We start from the raw sequence: 24,924 nt of genomic DNA, 5'->3' as shown, positions 1-24,924 counted from the left end.
TGCAGTGAGCCGAGATCACACCCCTGCACTCCAGCCTGGGCAACAGAATGAGACTCCATCTCAAAAAAAAAAAAAAAGATAAAAGTAGTGTTTTGTTTGGTTTCTTGTTCTTTATGTAGATGTTTTATATTAAGTGAGCTTTACTGTTTGCAAGCTTTTCTTTTGTATTCTATCTCATGCTGCTGCCTTCCCATAGCCAATAGCATGTCCTGGTGTTGCAAAGCCCAAAAATCAAAGTTTTATTGACTTCAAGGGGAGAGGGATGTCTTGCAGGCATATGTCCATGCTCTTGTAAAAGAAATGAACACTAAGTTTTAATGGTATTGAAAGAAAACATTATCTTAATATTAAGTAAATATTTTGGTGGAGCTGTGAAACAATTTCCTCTGCCACTTTTGAATCTGTGTTATTTTAGTGCTTAGGAGAACTCAATAAGCATCAGTGGAATAGACCACTTCTAGGATATTTTAGTGTTTGGTATATGAAATGCAGTATGATGCATGCAAAAAGTATTAAATTATTTCCTTAGGACAGTCAGCCAGTCCTATTGCCACACTGCGGTTTCTGATTCTAGCACATGTGGCAGATCCCTCAGAGACCTTTGTTTCCTACGGTGGAGCCCAGTGTCTTCTCTTTATGACAGGCTGTAGAATTGGTTTGGAATCTAAAGGGAGGAACTGATCCAGTACCTTGTGGTAATCACGGCAAACCTGTTTGCAAATGCTTAGTCTAATTCTCGACCTGAAAGATGTCCTTTTATGTATTCTGTTGCCGTATTTGCTTTTATTTCTTCAGTAAAATTCTTCACAAGGACTCAAGCATAGCACTACTGAAATGCCTAATAAGAAGTAAATTTATTTTATGGAAACTTTTAAAATTCTTATATTGCTTTATAAGATATTCTCATAAAAAATACACTTTGCTTGACTGTTGTGACAGGAAATCATTAAATAAACTGTCTATTTGGTAGAAATGAAACATTAGGAATCAAGTAAAATGACCTCAGTCAGCACTCTAACTACTGGCTTCCAACCAAATCCATGTTTTTTTTTTTTTTTTTTTTTTTTTTTTTTTTTTTTTTTTTTTTTGAGACGGAGTCTCGCTCTGTCGCCAGGCTGGAGTGCAGTGGCGGGATCTCGGCTCACTGCAAGCTCCGCCTCCCGGGTTCACGCCATTCTTCCGCCTCAGCCTCCCAAGTAGCTGGGACTACAGGCGCCCGCCACTACGCCCGGCTAATTTTTTGTATTTTTAGTAGAGACGGGGTTTCACCGTTTTAGCCGGGATGGTCTCGATCTCCTGACCTCGTGATCCGCCCGCCTCGGCCTCCCAAAGTGCTGGGATTACAGGCGTGAGCCACCGCGCCCGGCCCAAATCCATGTTTTTATGGGCCTGTAAGTTACTCATATGAACTAAGTACGGCTTATTATTTGAATACTATTATTTTATATTCAATAATAACTTAAACAGGTCGAAAGTAATTTTTTAACCATCAATAAAAAGTGAATTTGCTAAGGAAATTACAGTGTCATTGTAAAAGTTTCATTGCCTCAGTGGAAACTTGAGGTAATTCAGATGGCTGAAGAAAAGTTAACAGCCTTATGTATCATCTAAATATAATTTCTTCATCTCATAGATGATTTCCATCTCCTCTTTTAACTCCTTCACCCACTCTTTTCCAGAGTCCTGGGTGACATCTTTGCACAACGAAGGAACATCAGTCCTAACTGTCTTTAGCACTTAGGTGCATGGCTGGGCCCTCATGAGGACACCATGCTCACTTTTCTGTTATTACTCCAGGAATATTTTTCAGTTGCCTTCCATTTATGCACCCACCTCATACCGTCTGTGGGAATTCCCCAGGGTCAGTTTGCTTATACTCCTCTTCCTGTAAATCTTGCCATGTTTTTGATCCTACTTCTTTATTAGCAGCCTCCTCCACTAGAATGTAGGCTTCATGGCATGTGTTCAGCCTTTCTCTGTATGAGGGGCTCTTGATGGACTGCACAGCCAACCTTGTAGTCACTAGGCAGAAATACTTTCTATGAAATGGTATTGATGAGTATTGGGTGTATTGGGTAGATTTTGACCTGGTGGGAAAATAGATTTGGGCTGAAAGTCAAAAGTGCTCACTTTACCACTACTTTTTTTTTTTTTTTTTTTTGAGAGGGAGTCTCACTCTGTTACCCAGGCTAGAGTGCAGCGGCACGATCTCGGCTCACTGCAACCTCTGCCTCCCAGGTTCAAGGGATTCTTGTGCCTCAGCCTCCTGAATAGCTGGGATTACAGGCGCCTGCCACCATACCCAGCTAATTTTTTTTCTTTTAGTAGAGACAGGGTTTCACCATGTTGGCCCAGGCTGGTCTCGAGCTCCTGGCCTGAAGTGATCGGCCCATCTTAGCCTCCCAAGTAGCTGGGACTGTAGGCACATGCCAGTATGCCCGGCTAATTTTTGTGTGTTTTGTAGAGCCACTCTACCACTAATTAATATGTGTTTGTGAGTTTTTTGGTCCTTCTCATTTGGCATCTGAAAAATGGGGAAGAATATTACTTGTCTTATTTTAAACGGATTTTTGAGGATCCACTTACATGATAGATATGAAAGCACCTTAAAGTTTAAAAGTACATATACAAAGTGAGTGGCATTATGTGCTATTGTCACCCCCAGTCATTCTCGACCACTTTCCCCTGTTCTATAGTTGTCAAAACACTTACTGCCACCTGAAATTGTCATATTTCTTTATTAATTATCATCCTTCTCCACTAGAATGTAAGCTTCATGGGGCAAGCATCTTGTCTTTCTTATTTACCATTGTAACTTCATACCTTGAAGAGTATCTAGCATAAAGTACATGCATAGTAATGTATCGAAAGAATGAATGAAATTTAGTGTTTCATCAAGTCTTAGATGCTGATGCATTTCTTAAAAACAAATACGTTTGGTTTTGGAAATTCCTACTTTTGATATAATAAATAAACACAAGCTTTTTTTCCTAGGAATGTTGACACCACTTTTTAAAGTAGCCAGACATTCTTAATTTGCCAGCAATCAGATTTCAGCTTGTTGAAGTAAGGAGACAAGCTGGGTTTTTCATTTTCTGTCTTGGTAGATGTACATATCCCCTTGTCCTCTGAAATGTGTTTACTTTTGTGACAAAGGGGACAGAGCTTCTTTAGAAACATTTGCTCTGAGGCTCAGATAGGACTGGATGTCAGTTTAATGGACATTGGTTTTTGCCTACTGCGGTATTTGTGTTCATTTGTTTTGTTTTTGTTTTTGAGATGAGGTCTCGCGCTTGTCACCCAGGGGTCTCCTGCTGCCACTGTATGATCGAGTGTAGTGGTGTGATCATGGCTCGCTGCAACCTCGACCTTCCTGGGCTCAGGTGATCCTCCCACCTCAGCCTCCCAAGTAGCTGGGACTACAGGCACATGCCACCATGTCCATCTAATTTGTGTATGTTTTATAGAGCCAGGGTTTTGCCATGTTGTGTGTTCATTTGCTTAAGTCCTTCATACAACAGTCATGCATTAAGCACCACTCCATGTTGGAAGTCAGGCATTCAGACAGACGTGAAGATACACAATCCCTGCCTTCACAGTGCTTGGAACAGGCAGATGTGTCAGCTGATGAGCTTGGATTTAATGATAGGATTTAAGCCATAATGAAGCTTGCAGTTGTGTTAACTGATGGAAGTGTTAACATGGGAAGAAGGGCTTCCTGGCACTGAATGGTGAGGGCATGGCCCCTCACTCTGGCAAAGGGATTTATTTGAGGGATACTTGAGCTCTGTTTCGTGCAGTTATAGTACCTTTCTGCTTTCCTACATACAATACTGAAGGAAAGGGGGTATGATTTCCAGCTCTGAGCTAATTTGGGGATGTCTGTGAATATCTCTAATGGGCTACCCTGGATCTAACCTTGAAATGTGACACTCGAGAAACACCTATGACAGAAGGACCCTCACCAGCCGTATTCATCAGCAACAGCCGAGGGCCCTTGAAGTTTTCTCAGTCTTTAGTGTATATTTGCAGAGATGGATGGGCAGAAGGTCTTTCACAACTTGCCTCATGAATCTTAGTTCATCTGCTTGAAGCTGTATTTTTGAACTTCATTGTAATGTACAGGGTGTAAAGAAATATTTCATGTAAGTCATATGTCCAGTGGCATCCTCAGTTGAATACATGCTCCAGCAGCGGTATCAATACAGTGGCCATTCTTCTGTCACCAGACCTCACAAAACAAAACAACAAGGAAACACAGAGAATTTGCTTTTATTTAGTCTGCAGATTGCTTTTTTAAAAAACATAATTTTATACGTGTAGAAGCTTGTGTGCATTGAGTCTCCTTTTTTTTATAATTTGACAAATCATTGCTATGATAATGTCCACTAAATCATTCCTAGTTTTCTAAATCACTATAGTCATAATTCATATACATAGATGTACTTTATTCTTTGCATGCTTGTTTCTTTGGCAGGTCACCATTATTGCAGATGATAACTGCAGATTTTTATGCTGGTCAAGAGAAAGATTAACATACTTTCTGGAATCAGAACCTTTCTTGTATGAAATCTTTAGGTATCTTATTGGAAAAGACATCACAAATAAGCTCTACTCATTGAATGATCCCACCTTAAATGATAAAGTAAGTGTTCTCTGAGTTTATTTTGTTAAATAAATATGTATATGAGGTATATTTCACTTTATGAAATATGTTTTCCTGAATTTTTAGTAACTAGCCATATGTTAAATGTACTGGGGATACTTGTAATCTTGAGAGGAGAAAGTATTTTGTAATGATTAGATTTGCTGTTACTTAGTAAGGAGTCTACAATTGTCAGGGACTAGCATTTATGGTGATAAGGCACCCTCTTCATCAAGAGCATTTTAAGGAAGATGGTAAAGGAGTAAGAGGGGGTGGAGGATGGAGTAAGTTAGGGAGGACAGGGCAGCTGGAGGTTTGCAGACAGAGAAAGGCTGACAGACCCCAGCGATCAGGAAGTTGGCCTTTGAACCCTGCTGTCTTCCAGTCTTGCATATCTTCAGGTCAGGCGAGAAAGTGAAAGGAGAGGTGTAGAGCTGCATAGATCTTCAGCAATTTGCAATTTGATCTTAATTTTCCCGTATCTTTTTAGAAAGAAATTAAAATGATTACAAGAGAGAATTTTTAAAAACGTCGTTTCTGTGATAAGTACTGTTACCCAGTGACAATTGAGTATATGTGCCCTTTCAAAATCATCTTATCTGGACTGTTTATCAAATTAAGCTGGTGCTTATTTCAGTTAATTATTTAGCTTATTATAAATAGGCTACTAAGTATATTTGATTTTGTATAATATATTTATAGTAATAGCTAATAATAAAAATCATAGCTTATGTTTATTGGCCACCTAATATGTATCAGGTATTCTTTTTTTTAAATGCACTAACGTATTTCTAGGAAAAGTACATGCTGCTTAAATGGAATGTATGATTCAACTCCCATAATTCTCAGAAAGCTTAAAACTTTGCTTTGTAGAAAGCCAAAAAGCTGGAACATCAGCTCAGCCTCTGCACACAGATCTCCATGTTGGAAATGAGGAACAGTATAGCCAGCTCCAGTGACAGTGACGACGGCTTGCACCAGTTTCTTCGGGGTACCTCCAGCATGTCCTCTCTTCGTAAGTTATCCCAAAACTGATACTACTCCAGAGTTCTGATGGGTATCTCTGGACATAGACAAATGACAACTTTGATTAGAAAAATAACTTTGCAGGTAACTATTTGAAAGGCAACCTAAAGGTAACAATAAAAACAATCAAATTTTGTTTAGCATTTCCCCCATATTGCATATGAGCTAAAAGCCAACTTTAGAACTATTATTTCTGTTTCAGAAATTGAAATTGTTCACTGGTTTTGCCATATACTTTGCTTAAATAGTGGCTCACTGGCTGGGCATGGTGGCTTACGCCTGTAATCCCAGCACTTTGGGAGGCTGAGGCGGGCAGATCAGCACTTTGGGAGGCTGAGGCGGGCGGATCACGAGGTCAGGAGATCAAGACCATCCTGACTAATACGGTGAAACCCCGTCTCTACTAAAAATACAAAAAAAATTAGCCGGGCTTGGTGGCAGGCGCCTGTAGTCCTGGCTACTCGGGAGGCTGAGGCAGGAGAATGGCGTGAACCTGGGAGGCGGAGCTTGCAGTGAGTTGAGATCACGCCACTGCACTCCAGCCTGGGCGACAGAGCGAGACTCCGTCTCAAAAATAAAAAATAGTGGCTCACCAGAATACTCTAAGAGTCCACATGGTTTGATTTTTTTGCTTTGGTTTTGTTTGTTTTTGTTGCCATTTGGCTTTGTTACTTTCATGACTTTAGTTAGAGTGAAAGCCTAGACCCAGAAATGTTTTACTAAATGGTAGACAAATAAATGCTGGGTGTTCTGCTGCTGGCTGGTTATCTCAGTATGAGTGCCGTGAGTTAAAAAGTGACTGAGAAATGGATTATTCCCAAAGATGAAGGAGATCACTCAACACCCTTGTGAGCTACCTCATTCACACGCCTGCCAAGAGGCACATTTTCCGGTATTCTTCCATAGTTTAGATTGTTTCAAAACATTTTAAGTAACACAAATAACCCAGATGTTGAAAATTAGTAAGTAAAATGAGAAAAACTAAATTAAGAATTAAATACTTTAAGAATTATTCTAAGAATGATGGTATAAAAACTTTGAACAAATTCATATGAAATAGCAAAAAGGCAGACATTCTTCCATTGCATGAATTAAAAACTATTCATATTTCCAATTGTATTTTAAACCAAATTAACTTTTAAAAAATGCAAACACATTCAACAATTCTTTATGTAAATGATTTGTAACTTTGTATGCCTTTAGATAAATTATATTAGGGATTTTAAGTATTGCATAGTCAGGAGAGGCTGGAATTTACAAGGCCATATAATTGGTGTGTAGGAAAGAAAAAACTTTACTTCTTCCTTTTTAGGGTTGTTTTTTGGCTGGACCTGAGAATTAAATTGACATAAGATAGATTAACAAGAGAAAAGGATACAAATTTAATACAAGTTGTATGAGTTTGTGTTAAAAGCTCATACAGGTTTTACATGGCACAGAAGCTTTTGTAAGGAAATGAAGACCTAAAGAAGCAATTAAACAGTTTATAGTGAATTGGACAAAGAATAGTAAGTTATGAAAAGGCAACTAAATTGTGTTGGAAGACTTAAAGACGAGTTATTTTAATAAAGGCTTGTACAGAATTCTCTCTGCCTCGACATCTTGTCCTTGATGATAAGCATGTTGTTTTCCTTTTAATATTTTGGGAGATCACCTTTCATACAAGAATTTAATCTCCTGTTTTTTTTTGTTTGTTTTTGTTTTGTTTTTGTTTTTTTTGTGTGTGTGTGTGGCGGGGGGGATGGGAGTTGGTCTCACTTTGTCACCCAGACTGGAGTACATTGGTACAATTACAGATCACTGCAGCCTTAAACTCCTGGGCTCAAGAGAACCTTGTCTCTATAAAAAAAAAAAAAATGCCAGGCATCGTGGTGCAGGCCTGTAGTTCTAGCTACTCAATAGGCTGAGGCAGGAGGATCCCACCCGCCTCGGGTGCTGGGATTTCAGGCGTGAGCCACTGCACCTGGCCTGCATAGTAACTTTTTGAAGGTATTAACTAAAGCTCACATGAAGGTCGGGTGCTGCACTTCCCTACTCTTGGGGCTCAGCCAAAGGACTAGCTGCCATCTGGGTCACTGCCATTGTAACTGCAGAAGGAAGACAGTCGTGGCAGATTCACAAGATGGCTGGCTGTTAAAGCTCCTGCTCTAAAGGAGCAAGTACCACTTCCATGCATGTTCCCTGGGCCACAGAAGTCACTTGCCAGAACCAACATCAATGGATAGATCATTTAACCCTTCTGCAGGGACTGCTCAGGAAGGGCCTAGTGAGAAACAGCAGGTGGAAAGCTGGACTGTAACACAGTCTACTACAGCGGGTGTTAGGTCATTTTATAGATGAGGAAATTGGGAATATGAGATGCTTATTCACTTGCCCCTCTTCCATGGGGGCTGGTTCTGTGATACAAACCTAGGGATCCTATCTGATTCCAGAGCTCATGCTTGGCCAGGCACAGTGCCTCACACCTGTAATCTCAGCACTTTGGGAGGTTGAAGCTGGAGGATCGCTTGAGCCCAGGAGTTCAAGACCAGCCTGGGCAACATAATGAGACCCCATCTCTACAAAAAATTAAAAAAATTATCCAGGCATGGTGATACATGCCTGTGGTCCCATCTACTTGGGAGGCTGAGGTGAGAGGATTGCTTGAGCCGGGGAAGTCAAGGTTGCAGTGAGCCATGATAGAGCCACTGCACGGAAGCCTGGGTGATAGAGTGAGACCTGTATCAAAAAAAAAAGAAAAGAAAAACAAAAGCTCATGCTTGTAGACCAGATTACCTCTGTGTTTTTTTAAATGCAAGTAACAGTTGACTAGTGTTTTTCCATATACAGGTCACCTTCACATCTGTTCTTGCATTTGAACCGACAGCTATGTGAGCTAGGCACAGGAGCTGTTATTATTTGCCTCTTTGCAGATGAGTCCACCTAGAGTTGGTGAGAAGGTAGTGACTTGCCCCAAGCCACTTTTTCTCAACTCCCACCTACTTTTCTGGGGAAACCTGTCATCTCCTGATTCCTTCCTTGTGATCAAGTAGTGCTGCAGATAGGTTTTCATAGATTGGTTAATGTAATCCATTTCAATTAAAATTTTTGCCTTATTCTTATCACTGGATTACTAGGGTTCTACTTAGGAATGTGTGAAATTATCCAATGATAATCTCCAGTGTCATTTAGCTTTTAGTTAGATTACTTCAGAATTACAAGCAGTGTCACTCCATACCAAATTAAATATACCTTATGTATTTCCTTAAACCTTTTTACATTGTTCCACCTATTCATTAACCCAAATCTAGGTCGATTTAAACATTAACATGCATACGAATATTTATAATTATTTTTCGAATCACGATCTGAACAGCATGTGCACATCGCATTCAGCCACTACACCTCAGGGCTCCCTTTCCATCTCTCTCTGTCTCTCTGTCTCTGTGTGTGTGTTTCTGCATATGTTTTTGTTTTGGTTTTTTGGTTTGTCCTGTAGAACAACAGATTCTTAAATGTGCATATGAATCACCTGGAGATCTTATTAAAGATCCTGATGTAGCAGGCTGGGGTGGGGGTCTGGGAGTCCACAGGTCTAACCAGTGCCCAGGTGATACCAGTGTGGCTGGTCTGTGAACTACACTTTGAGTAGGAAAGCTGTAGAATTTCCCACCTTCTGGAATTTTGCTGAGTTCATCCCCATGGTGGTGATTATGGTGTTCTTGTCTTTCTCATCTGCCGGTAGTTGGGTGTAGAAGTTTGCATAAATTCTGGTAAAGGCACTACTTTAAAGATCTCAATCAGTAATGCGACAAATATACTTCATAACTTTACACAGCAAATGTTCAGTGAAACAGAAATACGGACAGAAAAAGGTGGAGGGAAACTAAGTGACCTGTTTTAATGGAATTGCTGCTGCTCCCATTTCTCATGTTGTACTCTGCTTTTATACATGCCACACAATGCTAAATCCACAGCAAGGTCTCTACTCCTTTCCACATAGATTCTGTATTCCCACTCCAAATTGTGGGAAGAAAGTGAAGTCATGAGACAGCCTGAGAAAAAGTCATTCTCTCTGTTTATTCAGTAGTTCATAATTCAGTTCATTTAACTCTTTCACTTTCCCATTGCTTCATTTACTGGGTTTCATGTTTGCAAACATGGAATATAGCGAGATAGGAAGAGAAGAAGGGACAAGATGTGTGAGAGGTGTGAGAACGCTTTAGTGCCAGTGTATGTAGGAAAGCTTTCTTCTCTTGGCTCCTGGACCAAGGTGTTGCTCGTCAGGGCACCTTGTTGTCATCTTTGTGCATCTTCTCTCCTTCTTAGCTCCCTTCATGTATAAAACATATGCATTCACACAGATGGATTGTATTGGCAATTCCATCACTAGTAAGTGCTGCCCAGCTCAGGCATTGCTATGGTAACAGGAAGACATATGTTTCCTTGAATGTTACAGAACTGTATTTTAGTTAATTGGGGTTAAATAACCTATCATTTGGATTTTTTTTTAAAATCACAAGACAATGTAGGCAATGCAATCAGTTGGAACTCATCTTTGAAAAAGCTTGTTAGTTTAAACCGTGTCTTTTTTCATGAAATAATAATTATGTTGTTTTTAAAAATGCTGTGAGATCTTTAGAGAGATGTTTCTTATTAAGATCTTTGTAAGTATTTTGTTTGTTATTAGTGTCAAGACAGTACTACACTGGCCAGGTACACTGGCTTACACCTATAATCCCAGCACTTTGGGAGGCCAAGGCAGGAGGATCTCTTGACCCCAGGAGTTCAAGACGAGCCTGGGCAACATAGCGAGACCCCCTCTCTACAAAAAATTTGTTTTAATTATCTGGAGGTGATGGCATGCGCCTGTGGTCCCAGCTACTTGGGAGGCTGAGCTAAGAGGACCACTTTAGCCTGGGAGATCTAGGCTGCAGTGAGCCATGGTCTTGCCACTGCACTCCAGCCTGGGTGAAAGCGTGAGACCCTGTCTAAAAGAAAAAAAAATGCTGTTGTGGACAGCCTACTAATGTCATATGACCTAGTTTTACAAATATTTAGTTAGCTTGCAGTCTGAAAAGACTACCAGTATGTCTGAGAGAAACTAATGAGTTTCTCTTGGTTCTCTTCTATATTTATTTACCTGGAAAGACGCAAAAAGCCATTATAGCATTCTTAGTTTCGAGGCTGGTTTCATGAAATAATCTGTTCAGCTCAATTTGTGTTTCATTCCCGTTGTGAGCAACCATAGACTTACAAACAATAAGCTTTACATGAATTGTACAGAGAGGTAGAAAGATGTGTGATTAGGCAGCAGGTTTCTGGGAGATGAGTCTGAACAATTCTCAGACCTACCAAGATGGCTAGAGAAAGCAATACCCTCATTTTATAGATGAGTAAAGTGTAGTTTAGGGAGATCAATGTGAGCATAAACTTGTTTGGGATATTCAGCTACTGCTGTAGCAGCTGACACATCCTGACCACTTTCAGCCAGGTTCTCATTTAATCCTCACAACCACCCTACGAGGTGGGTGTTTCATTTTCCATTTTTAGGCTTAGGAATATGACCATGTCTCCCCCAGCCAGTAGAGGCTGTGCTCTCTCATGCCAGTACCCTGCTCCTCGCCCCAGGAGGGGGCCTCTGTCCTCACACAGCATTTTCTTACCTGTAAAATCTTACCTGAAGGTATTTTATACAGTTGTACATTTTTAGTCTGTTAGTCAAAATTGTTTAAATTATCAAGTTAATATACATAGATATCACATGGTTAAAAAACCTTACAGTGAAAAAAAAAGAACTGACCCCCCTCCAAGCTAATTTTAGTCCTGCTCCCAAGGAACAGTCACTTTGAAACAGTTGTTAACCACAGTGCCAAATGATGTGCCGTTATTTATTGCTTTATACACTTAATCTTTTTTTTTTTTTTTTTTTGAGAAAGGGTCTCACTCTGTCATCCAGGCTAGAGTGCAGTGGCATGATCACAGCTCGCCGCATCTTCCGCCTCCCAGGCTCAAGATGTCCTCCCGCCTCCCAGGCTCAAGATGTCCTCCCGCCTCAGCCTTCTGAGTAGCTGGGACTATAGGTGTGTGCCACCATGGCTGGCTAATTTTTGTATTTTTTGTAGAGACCACGTCTTGCTATATTGTCCAGGCTGGTCTCAAATTCCTGGGCTCAAGTGATCTGTCCGTCTTGGCCTCCCAAAGTACTGGGATTATAGGCAAGTGACTACCTTCTCACCAACTCTAGGGGGACTTAGTAACCTTTATCTACTGACCTACGTAGATAGCTCACTTCTAACTTCCCCTCCACTTTCTGCTCAATATGATGAAGTCACTAGTTTTTGTTCTTTTATTGTTTAACTTTGTAACATTAAACAATACACCTAAATCTCCATTTCTTTTTCTTGCTGCACTAATTTTAAAGGTGAGGACATTAAGGGCTGGGCCCAGTGGCTCACTCCTATAGTCCCCGCACTTTGGGAGGCCAAGGCGGGCAAATCACTTAAGCCCAAGAGTTCAAGACCAGCCCAGCCAGCATGACAAAACTCTGTCTCTACAAAAAATACAAAAAATAGCAGGGCATGATGGCCTGCCTGTGCCTGTAATCCCAGTTACTCAAGAGGCTGAGGACACCTGAGCCCGAGGAGGTTGAGGTTGCAGTGAGTCAAGATCACGACACTGCATTCCAGCCTGGGCACAGAGTGAGACCCTGCTCAAAAAAAATAAATGTTTTAAAAGGTGAGGACATTAGCATCCCTACTTTCTTATTCTTCCCCTTCTACCTTCAAACTGTTGTGGGTCTCTTACTTTGAAACGGTCAAGTTATATGTTCTCTTTTATAACTGCAATTAGCCTTTGTCTATGAATTGTTTCACAAAGTCTAAGACAAATAAACAATGTTGAGATTATTGTGCTTTACGTAGAACCAAGTAGTGGGCAGTGCTTACATTTATTTCTGTTTCCAATGTCATGACTCTTGTTCTGTTCAAAGGAGACTGTTCTAAAAATCAAGTTCAAGTGGATTCTTCTTTCATATACAACATGAAAATCATGCCACGGTTTACTTTATGCCTTGACTCTCTTTTTTCCCCTAAAGTTGTTTCATTGCCTTGCTGTTGTGGGACACATCTTATTCACCATATCCCTGGGATCTTCAGGCTTCTTCCTCATTCTGTCTTTTAGGTGAAACCCATTTCATTTTTTCTTCAAGTCTCTGAGTGGTTGTCCTCTATTTGAACCCTGCCTTTTCATACTGCTTATTGTTTCTACGGGCATTTCTAGTTGCCTTCCTTTTTCCTTATCGTTGTCTTTTCTGTCCTTATATCCTTTCTCCCAGTTCTGTGTCCCATTTTTCCCAGAGACTTTCCTTACAGAGCCTGCCGTCCTCCAGCCTCATCCTGGATGGATTATTCTCTGAGCTGTTGCATGGCTGCCAGCCTGAATCCTGCCCTCACTCTTCTCCTGGGTTCATTCACCTTCTCCTCTACCCTGTATCTTCTTCTTTGTGAGCAGGAAGAGGCTGCGGGACTTTTGCTCCTCCTTGGCTGCTCACACCACACCTTGCGCGCTGTACAGCTCACGGCCCTGATGGTCCATCCGAGTAGTTAGGGACTGCTCTGAGAACGTGCTCTTGGGGCAGAGTAGACCTCATCACAGGAACCACTAAGCTACTTCAACCTCCGCATTTGCCCTAATTTTGTACGCTTTGCCTGAGTTCCTCAGTGCTGGTGCTGAGTGTATTAAAGGAAACATTCGGTGCACAAGCCAAAGCTACTCTTTAGTATTATTGTTCAGAAAGCTTCAATTCAAACTCAGTTTCCTCAATTAAAAAAAATCTTAGGATATAATAAGCAAAGACAGGAAAAGAATTCTTTCCAGGAAAAAAAAAGCCATTAAATCCTTCCACATTCCCATTCTTCAAAAATTGTACAATCTAATTAAATTTTAAACTCCTGTAGGTTTTTAATTACTTGCTAAAGCAGTTGGCCAGATGGTTAAACATAATAAAAATAATAACATTTTGAAAGAAATGGAGAAAACGTCATTAAAGTTAACAGGGGAGAAAAGAAAATCTTAGCACCTTATATTAGCTTACAGAAATGTTGCTCCTTTTTAAAAAGTGTATTTCTTAAGCAAGGATAAAAGTCACCTGACAGATTTCACATCGTGGTACTCCACTTATTTGAAGCTCAGATTTGAGGTAGTTTGTTCATCCTCTGGAACAGGCATGACCTTCACTCTGGATTTAAGAAAAACAAATATGTCTGTTTACTTTTACTTCCTAGGAGAGGCCTTCAGGCTCTCCTGTAATTAGAAGCACACTGAAATAGAAATAAGCTTAATAGGGACAGAATCTTACCTCATTTTTTCTTACCCTGTATGCCAGAGATTTGACTGATTGTCATGTAAGAGCTCCCTGGTTCATGTATGAAAAGGCCTCCTCTCATTATGTTAAGTGAAATAAACCAGGCACAGAAAGACAAACTTAACATGTTCTCACATATTTGTAGAAGTTAAAAACTAAAAGAACTGAACTCAAGGACAGAGAGAGTGGAAGGATGGTTATCAGAGGCTGGAAAGGGTAATGGGGGTGGGGGGAGGTAGAGGGGAAGTGGAGATGGTTAATGGATACAAAAAATAGGTAGAAAGAATGAATAAGACCTAGTATTTGCTAGCACAACAGGATGACTATAGTAAAAAATAATATACATTTTTAAAATAACTAAAAGAGTAAGTTGGATTGTTTGTAACACAAAGGATAAATGCTTGAGGTGATGGATAGCCTATTTACCCTGATATAATCATTTCACGTTGCATTCCTGTATCAAAGTATCTCATGTAACTCATAAATATATACATCCACTATGTACCCACAAATATTTTATACTAAAAAAAAGGTTTTTAAGGCCTTCTGTGGTTCTTTAACTCAAGACTCTGGAAGACAGAGAAGGATCTGCAGGGCAGCCCAAGCCCGCCCTCCATGGAGGTCAATGTTTTGTTTGCCCTTGCAGCCAGTGACCCTCAGGGACATGCAGTGGGTCTTAACAATGGGCTCCCCTCCTCCCTAACCAGCACCCAGCCCTGGCTGCCATCTGAACAGTTCTGCCCAGGAGAGACTCTGCTGGCCGTATCTGAATCCCCTTGTGGGAGCCCACGGTGTGGTCACCCCCTGCCATCTGGCAGGAGCAAAGGTGTCCACTGTTTCGCTCAGGACTCTCGCTGCTGTCCCAGTCTTCCGCATGTGCTCAGGGTCCTTGACTTGGAGTTTTTCTTTCTCACCCTCAGCACGGCAGCCTGGTGCTACAGTTCTCTTTCCCACCTGAACATACTGCGAGTGTGGCAGACACCCCAGAGCACAATTGTGCTCCACTGGCTGCACCTTCTCGATGCCTTGGTCCTTATGGAAGTCCTTTGTGCAGAGGACTTTTTTGCCACTTGGTGTAATATGAAACATCCCTCCAGCAACAGTAACTCTTGACGTAACTGTTTAACAGTTTCACACCTGTTAAGTCTGGGTTTCAGTTCAGTATGATACTGTTTATATACTTTTATAATAAAATGTATTAACTGGTAGGTGGAAGGTGATTATAGCTAACAGAAAAAAAATTACTACAGAAGTCTTTTCCTGATCACAATAAATACAACAGGATGGAGTTAACCACTCTGCCTCCCAACTGTAAAAATAGTTTTAATAGAAAACTAAGAATCAATTTTCTGGGAAATTTATGGATATGAAATTATTTGCCCCTCTACAATTGGCAATAAATGAAAAGTAAAGCATTCTACAGAGATCATGAACCTTACAGTAACCTCCTTGAAGAACAAAAGTGATTTGAAAAATCACTTAACTAAAGATAAGCTCTATTTCTTCCTCTCTCCTCTCATGTTCTCACATCTCTGGAAGATAGTTGGGCCTCTGGGCAAATTTCTGATATCTATCAGTACGTAAAATTAATGAAAAACCAGGCAAACCTGTAGAAGTTATTTATTAATGTTCAACTTGTGAAATGCAAGAGCATTCCCTTGAAATATAATATTCCCTCTTTTTCTTGTTCTTACTACAAATTGGTTTTGGATGTATTAGGGGTTCAAAGAAATAATTTCCAGCTATATAGGGATGGACTCTGAATCTTTCCATTGAACCAGTAAGTCTCCTGATGAGGCCAGAGAGCCCCATGTCTAGGGGCCAGGTGAGCCCCTCACTCCTCAAAGCTGGGCTTTCTGGTGGCCATGACAGTTGCAGATTCCGAGGCAGGGCAGGTGATCCTTTTGTCTTCCTGGATGTGAATGTTATACTTGGCCCTCAATGGTACAGAAGGCCAGGCTAACTGGGGCTGGTACAAAGAGTGGACACTCTCCGTGATTCTAATTCCAAGCGAGGGGTTGGCAGCCAGCTGGCACCAGGTAGTCCCTGGAAGTGACAGGTTGGGCTGTGCTCCTGTCTGCCAGTGTGTCTACCAAGGTGGAAAAAGAGCAACAAGGCAATGTTGTTATAAGGACAGGGAGTTGGGGGGGGATTGCAGATTCTCAGCCACAAAGCTTGAAATGAAAGTGAATCAAGAACTTTTGCAGAAAAATTCCATCTTTCCAGGCCCTTAGGACTCCCTGGTTTATCCTCCTAGGATGTGTTCTAAGTGGTTCACACCCTGGTAAGAAATAAGCTCATTCATGGCAGCCACCCCTCTCTGTTTTCTTTCACGGATGTCTTTGTTTTAGCTTCTGAATATACAGTAGAAATAATAGTACAGATGTGGTGAGGGTGAATTGCTCTGAAAAGTGCTTTGAGTTTCTGAGAAATAAAATAAGACAGCATGAAAGACTGGGTGTGATTCCTTTTTATTTCCCCAACATTTAACCCATTGTCCTAGCACCTTGTGGTCACTCCCTGATTCCTTTTACTGATTGGATGAAAACATTGTAGCAGGTGATGGTGCTATTAAGCCTATTGATATTCCTTTGAGAGAACGGTGTTCTTGTCCATGCCCTAAGCAGTGTCGAATCAATTCTACAAAAGTGATTTCCTTCAGGGGACATGCTACAAAGTAGAGTGATGACAGTCCCTTTTCCTAATGAGGTTTACTGGACCCTGAGGCCTGCCTGCGCTTGAGGAATGCTGGTGGTGCCCCACTGGGAGACCCGCCAGAAATTAAAGGTGATGTCCATGTCTTTTTCCCTCATCCTCAGGATCCTTTCTGAGGTTCCCTATGTGGCCTTTCAGAGGAGGGATTTTTTCATCACTGTGTACTTAAGGACATTATCAAGGTCCTGACTATGTGTGGAGTAATTCTGTGAGGCTGCAGGAGGAAAGAGGCCTTGGTTACAGCACTCAAGATGCCTGTTTTCTAATAAGGAAGAGATGCAAATGCTATAACCACAATGTTACACAGAATGTGGAAGGGCTGAAGTTATTGAGATGAAGAGGGTAGAATCTTCCCACAGGAGTCATGGAGGGTTACACATGAAGGAGGTGGAGTTTGAATCCTGCTTGAGGAAACAATGGGAATTTGGTGGTTAGAGATGGGAGTGGAGGAACCATTCCAAGTAGAGGGAAAAAAGGCAAGAGGAAAAGAGGAGGATGGGCTGGATTTGAAGAGCAGTGAGTTTGCAAGAGCTTGGACTGGAAGAGGGAGGGAGACCCAACTTGGAGAACCCTGGATGTCACCCTAAGGATTGTGAATCACTCTCATTATCCTTTTAATGTTATATAGTAAGTTCCATAGCTCTTCTTCTGCCCCAGCAAATATGGTGGGAGCAGAATAAATTCTTTCACAGAAAAGCTGAAAGCTCTTGGGAAGTTCTCACTTAACCATTTCCATTTGTGTTGAGTCCTCCCTTCATTTTCTCTCAGTGAAAAAAAATGCAAAGTATAGGTGAGAGAGTTGGGAGGGTCAGATACCATTGTGGCTCCAGAGTATAGATACCTGCCTCAATATAACTGTAGGATGTCCTTCCTGGTATGATAGATGAGCTTAAAAACTAGAAACCAGTTAGTCCTACTTCCTCAGACAGAATAAACTGGGTATGTTTCTGTTAAGCGTGTTACACAATTATGTCTATATACTATATATTATTGACTTGATTTAATGCTCTTAGACATGCCATCTTATTGTTTGTTCTGAGAGTTTTGTCTCATTGTAGATACTCAGCCTAAGTTAATATTTATGAGACCCAATGATAACTTAAGGCTAAAAATATGATGGAAACCAGGGCTTTTTTTTTTTTTTTTAAAGACAATTTTGCCACACTCAAGAGAGCTAAGATTGAGAAACACAAACCCACATTTGAGCACAAGGCCCATTTCCTTTATTGGCCATTCTTATGAGCAATGATGAATTTTAACAAATTTTCTCATTATTAAGTCCATAGCCTTCCAAAGACCATAGTAATTGATTTTTATGTTCTTACAAATATTTACAAAGTGGTTATTACATCCCAGGCACTGATCTAATAACTTTACAAATATCAAGTTGTTTTATCCTTATAACAACCATATGAAATAGGTGCTGTTCTTATTATTCCTATTTTACAGGTAAGGAAATTAAGGCACAAAGAAGTAACTTGTCCAAGGTCGCACAGATAGAATTCATTGCCATTTGAATAGACATTGAAGTAGAGGTTGTGTTTCGTGTGTTTGATGTCACCTGCATGGGAAAGGGGAAGAACTCGCCTGAGAACTTCCCATGCTGTGCCCTGTGCAGAATTGGGTTCTTGGACCATTTTATTAGATGCTTCTTTTCTACAGTTTATGTCAATAGTTGTCATTCAAGAGACTCAGTATTTTTGCTGTAAATGTCTGTAAGTGAACAATTTCCGTATATATACAGCGAGTATACATTAGCTGTACCACAGTCTAGCCCTGCATATTTTTTTATGTTAGAGGATGTGACTGGTGGTAGCATTTCCCCAGATGTACGGCAGTGACTGTACAGTTAATAAGAAATGACATTTAGTCACATGTTCTATAGGCCCAACACCCTGCTAAGTACATCCTATGCATTATTCTGTTTAATCCTCCTAACAATCCCATGGAGCAGATCCTAAGAATATCCCCTTTTTATAGATATGGAAACAGAGGCCTAGAAAGGTATAGTAATTGAGTGCAGGTTGCAGAGTAGGGATTTGAACTCTGGAACTGTTTGCTGAGCCTCTGGTCTTGACCACTCTGCATGCTCCCTCCCCCTGTGCCATACCAGGGGCCAGGAATGACCACTCGTTCATGGCTGAGTGCCAGGGCAAAGCCTTTGCCGCTGTCTCAGCCTCCCTCCAGGAGCAGCCGTGTGACATGCTCATAGCCCTTGGCCCTCCTTGCTGGTTGTGGCATTCTCCCTGTGCTGGCCAACCCAGCTGTCTGCTCCTGACTCCTGCCAGTGAATGACAGCTGATCTTGACAAACTTCTGTGGTCATCTTGTAGCAGATCTGCTTCATGTCTTAATAGATCCTCCACTCGCTTTTGCTGTGAGCATGTATTTAAAGAGCCAGGTTTCACCCGGTATCCCTCCACCATCAACCTTCTCCCCAGCTGAGTTCAGCATTTGTGGGCTGCCGGAATGCCACTCCACCCTGTGATTGGGTAGCGAAGATATGGGTGTGGGCAGAGCAGGTGGAAACCCGGACAACATGGATCCTGACAGTGATGGTGGTGACTGTAAGGAGGGGAGTTTATGCAGTCACGTTAGCTGCTCATTAGGCACCTTGAGAGGCCTTTTGATAATGACTTCTACTCTTACTTTTAGATAGTATTTTCTTCTACATCAAGCATGGTATCCATTATATGGTAGATGCTTGATAACCATTTGGTGAATGCATGAACCAGTGAGTGACTGAATGAATGAATTGCTGCCTGGTTCCTTTGATTAAATGGCATCCTAAAAGGCCCTGGGGTTGCCTTTTCTCCTGCTGCTGCCTGGGATTGCGTTTCCTCTACTTGGCTTGTCCCTCCTGAATGCCTGGCCTTTCTTCCTCTTCCCCTGTCTCCTTTGCGTGTAAGCCCAGTGGGTGGCTGGACTCCATGGTGGAGGCAAGAAATGTTTTAGGTGATATTACAGATGGTGATTAGGTTCCATAATTTTGGAATAGAAGTATTCTTTGGGGAAATTAGGAGTTAAATCAACTTTCAAGGGCTAATATGAGACTCAAGCCCCCATGTATGATATTAATGTAGGAACATGCGTTCTGAGTCCTAAGCAGACTGTGGGGCAAACCCCTGGGAACTGAATATATTTGAGAAGCTCAGATCATCCAAGCACATGCGGTGGAATCTGTCCCTCATCTGTGCTCCTGACTGAGAGTCTCTTCTTGACTTGGTTATTTTATTGAGATGCTGGATTGAAATAGAATGGTTTATGGAAATTGTGTTCTTGGTGCTGCTAGTGATAGATTCCTACAGTTTTATTTTCCAGTTGGAATTTATAATTGATATATCACACCAGGGTCTGGGTAGATTGTGCATTCAGTGGTTTTCCCTCCTGTATCTTTCCACAGATGTGTCATCCCCACACCAGCGAGCCTCTGCCAAGATGAAACCGATAGAAGAAGGAGCAGAAGATGATGATGACGTTTTTGAACCGGCATCTCCAAATACATTGAAAGTCCATCAGCTGCCTTGATCAGAGAGAGAATTCAGGTTACCAAGACGGAAGGTGTCTTGAAGAGATCCTGAAAAATACCAGCACTTTTTCATGGCTTTTAGGTTATTCTGCTTTAGTGCATCCAGACTGGTGGAGTCGGAGGGAGGAAGTGAGGAAGGGTCAAGGATGGAAGAGTTCTTTCACTTACCCTTTTTATTAGTCAGCTTTTAAAGTAATTGTTTTACTGAGCCTTCTGACTATGCCTTGTTCTCTTTTGAGATATATATTTTCACAGTCTTTTCTAGATATATTATTGTTTTAACTTAACAAATCTTAGCAATCTCTCAATGCCTTTTCACTTATTTTTTTCCAAGTTATGATTCTTTTTCCTCACAGTCTTTTTTGTTCCATAGCAATGAGGTTGTCCATTTGATAATTTTAACAAACAATGTAAGTTTAAAATTGAGGCTAAGGTAACATGAAAAAGCAGGGAATCTCAAACTTTATTCCATATATACACACACACACACACACACACACACACACATACATACATACATATATATATATATATACATATATATACATACACACATACATATAATTTTTTTTTTTTTTGAGATGGAGTTTCACTCTGTCGCCCAGGCTGGAGTGTAGTGGCACATTCTCAGCTCACTGCAAACTCCACCTCCTGGATTCACGCCACTCTCCTGCCTCAGCCTCCCGAGTAGCTGGGACTACAGGCACCTGCCACCGCGCCCAGCTAATTTTTTTGTATTTTTAGTAGAGATGGGGTTTCACTGTGTTAGCCAGGATGGTCTCGATCTCCTGACCTCGTGATCCGCCCACCTTGGCCTCCCAGAGTGCTGGGATTACAGGCGTGAGCCACCGCGCCCGGCCTATTCCATATTTTTTTAATGGGACATTTTAGAGAAAGGTGTGATTTGACTGGTTTTATTTTTCTCCCAGGCCAGAAGTATTACTCCACTAGATCACCTTACTTAATTGGGCACTGTGTGGATAACTTGATAATGAACAAAACTCTCAGATTTTACTCACATTACCCTTGTATTATGCCATTTATAAACTGCTCTGAAACCTGAAGCTGGAAAGATAACAGATGGGTTTCTGAGCACGGGGTTAACCTCCAGCTAAACTCAACTTCCTTGGGATTTGGAGTCACCATGTTGTGCACACTCTGGTGTGGGAAACACTTTATGTAGGGTGGGAGGACAGGGGAGTTAAATGGCTGGGCAGGTGCCACAGGATGAGGCCACTGAAAGATCTGCTTCATTCTTTGATCTGTATTCTGAAGTTCCAGATTGTTCATCTAGAGGCAGAGACATCTCTTTTAAAAAAGTGCCAGATGCCCCAGTGCCAGAGCTGCGAACGTGAACACAGTGGAAGGCAGAGGGTTTACTACAGGCCAGGCCATGGACACCCCACCCAGGTACTGCAGTGAGGGCCTTGATTCCAGAGCTCTTTTTCCTACTGAAATCATGGTTTAGTAAACAGTGGCATTTGGCTGGTGGGAAATGCGTAACTGGTCAGTGTGTCTGGCCAGCGTGGCTGTGGCACTTGGCCAGGACGCTCCGTTGAATGAAGCTCATTGATTGGCCATGCTGGTCATGTCTATTTTGCTTCATCCACTAGAACCAACTTTGAGTCAGTCTCCTGTTACGTTAAATGGCTAAGAAAAGTTCCAAATGAAGTTGTTCTCAGGTGAACTGAGCCAAAAGAAGCAACTCTTACCATGAGGTGATTTCTGTTAGAGGAGACATATAAATAAGCTCATCTAGGGTCACCTCATTTTCCTAAATATGTTTTTAAAGCAATTATTGTAGTAATTTCATTTGAGTTAAATTTACATGCTCGGTCACTCATTGAGAAAATTTACACAGACTCTGAATCCAGTTCCTGTCATCTTCAGATGTTGGTTTATTGACATCACAGTAAAAAGGCTACTGTCGACTGGACACAGTGGCTCACACATGTAATCACAGCACTTTGGGGGGCCAAGGTGGGTGGATTGCTTAAGCCCAGGAGTTCAAGACCAGCCTGGGCAACATGGCTAAACCCCATCTCTACAAAAAAAATTAGCTGGGTGTGGTGGTACATACCTGTAGTCCCAGCTACTCAGAAGGCTGAGGTGGGAGGTTCACTTGAACCTGGGAGGTTGAGGTTGCAGTGAGCACAGATCACACCACTGCACTCCAGCCTGGGCAACAGAGTGAGACCCTATTTCAAAAAAAGGCTGCTTTCACTGTACTGCTGCAGCAGTCTCTTCAGGTAGCTAAATTAGGAGCTTGTTTTGGAGAAATGAAGCAAAGGTGAATGACAGCCTAGGCTTGAAATTATAAAGCTCTCTCAGGTTGAACTCTCTCGTGCGCTCTCGCTCTCACTTTCGCCCTGTACCTGAGAGCACAGGTGTAACTGTGATGTCATAGTGCCGAGACTACTTTCCTTTAACCATTGGGGTTAAGTTGGGCAGCCCATTTAGTTTACACGCGCATAAGACTAATTTACAAAATCACTCTATACAGTCATTAGATGTAACATCCTTCCCTGAGTAGAAAGTAATGCATGTGTTTGGAGATTATTTTCTGTAATGCTGGGAACAAACCTGTTTTAAAAGCACACTGCTAAAAGTAGGTGATATAAGACCATTTGCTGTTTTTATTAAAGTATGTGTGTGTATCAGTGTCTCAATGTGAAGATTGTAACCTCAAGATTAGGAATCTTAAAAGAGCCACTTAGCCTGAATGGGAAACGTGAGACTATTTTTAAACACACACCTCTAAGGAAGAAGCCTCCCATATAGACTTGATCTCAAAGAAGCAGATAAGAAGACAGAAAAGTGTTTTAAGTGTAAGATCTCCTATGGAGTACTTTAAATTCATTTATACAAATGAATAAGTGTATCTTTGTATAATGCATAAATACATAGATAAAAACATGTTTGCTGCCAAAGTTCCCAATAAGATGCTTCCTGTGTTTTTTGGCCTTTACTTAGCTGAATGATCAAAGTTCAGAAAATGGTCTGCAAAAGTTACTCCATATACAACCCCAAATCTACTACTTTAAATGTAACATCAACTCAGTTGTATGAATCTGGAGTGTAATATTTATATTAGAATGTATATGTCATTTAAAATATTTTGAAAGCCCTCATAAATATTTATATTTACTAAACTAATAGCATAGACACTATATAAATCCGCAGTGATGCTTATATATCTTAAATTAGTAATAATGGGTGCTATATAATTATTTTCAGTTACTATCCCTGACACTCTGGAATCTTCTCCATTTCTCCCTATCACTCAATTTCATTTTAATCATTGGACACCTTTGCGTTTTGCTGCTAACAGTGTGTGTATGTCACCCTCTTTATATCTGGTTTTCCCACTTGTCTGAAGCTCTCCTGATCTTAGAACCTGGAGCTGCAGATTCCTCCATGTCAGCTCCCATCACGGCCCCAAAGACAGAGTCACTTGGTTGCTGAGTCACTTGGTTGCTGGAAAAATCTTTGGGGAAAGCTGGTATAAGCTACACACTGACCTGTCCCCAGTGTTTCCAGGTAATGACTTGGCACTCCAGAGAAAGTTTCATGCTGTTGCGTGTGGTGGCTCCAAGCCAAGCACCTGGCATGCAGGTCAGCCCTTCCCAGCGGGCGTGGCGTCGTCCTCTTCACAGATGCCACGTTGCAGCCCCAAGGCCTCACCATTTTGCGTTTTTTAGAAACCCATTTTCTTGGTCATTTATAAAGCTGCTTTATAGATATCTTTGATCCTGGCATGCCTTGGTTTCCTCTCCCTTCCCTCTTTCCAATCCTGGTTTCCTAACCTCCTCTTGTAGTAATTCTCAACTCAACTCAAAGTCCCAAGAATTTGGAATGGTAGGATGCTGTGCGGGGAGCTCGAGGCTGAGGCATAATCACTGCTTCGGTTCTGCTCATCAGGGGACACGCTCCCTTACTCATGGCAGCCATGTTTGATTGTCACAGAGCCCCCCGAATACTCTGTCTATAGTGACACACTGTAGGTGTCATAAATTTTAAGAAACCTGCTTTTAAGTACTATTTATAGGTTTTTCTGTTATACTTGCAACCTAGTTTTAAAATACATGAGGATTTTATGAAAGCTTTATACAGACATTTATAGGAAACTCATTCTTTGATTTTAGGTGCCATTTAAATTGATAACACTTACTTTATAAAAAGATGCTTTTTGTCTGGATAGAGCCTTATAGTTTAAAATATCTTCATATATTGCCATTTGATCAAATAAATTTCTTACTTAGAAAATGTGTGTATTTTTTATTTCATTCCTCTTACATATATCTAGCTTGTTCGAATGTCATGCCCAAAGGCCAAGGTTGTGGGGATGGGCCTGGTGCAGGCCATTGTATTCTGAGCAGACCAGCAGGGGCGGTGCTTGTGGGTCGGTCATACCTGACTTCAAAGGTCCTGCCATCTTGGCTGCTTTGACTGTGAAAAAAAAAAATGGCCAGAAGGCAGTGTAGACAGTGTTGACTAGATGCAGCAATGGAGAAGCCTTCAGAGTTTTATTGATGGGACTTAGTGGGCTTCAGCTTTTTTTCTATTGCATCTGAACATTCACTCCCTTCTAGTTTCCTAAGATTCAACAATATGAGGAGTCACATGAAGGAGTCAGAAAACCTCCCTGGATCTGTTCTGTGGTGGA

At 41.3% G+C, this 24,924-nt stretch overlaps 1 protein-coding gene across 3 annotated transcripts in view; it reads left to right on the top strand.

Annotated features, from left to right (window-relative positions):
* POPDC1 (popeye domain cAMP effector 1) overlaps positions 1–24,524 on the top strand; it is a 40,336-nt gene extending 15,812 nt beyond the window's left edge. For all 3 annotated transcript variants that reach the window (NM_001199563.2, NM_007073.4, NM_147147.4), the window contains exons 6-8: positions 4,478–4,645; positions 5,519–5,660; positions 20,133–24,524. In NM_001199563.2, coding sequence (NP_001186492.1) covers positions 4,478–4,645; positions 5,519–5,660; positions 20,133–20,257 — 435 coding nt within the window. In that variant the 3' untranslated portion in view covers positions 20,258–24,524. The remainder of the gene's footprint in view (positions 1–4,477; positions 4,646–5,518; positions 5,661–20,132) is intronic.

This window comes from Homo sapiens, chromosome 6 (assembly GCF_000001405.40).
Source record: "Homo sapiens chromosome 6, GRCh38.p14 Primary Assembly".
In the NCBI taxonomy this organism is placed as follows: domain Eukaryota; kingdom Metazoa; phylum Chordata; class Mammalia; order Primates; family Hominidae; genus Homo; species Homo sapiens.
This window is presented reverse-complemented; position numbering and strand designations above follow the sequence as displayed.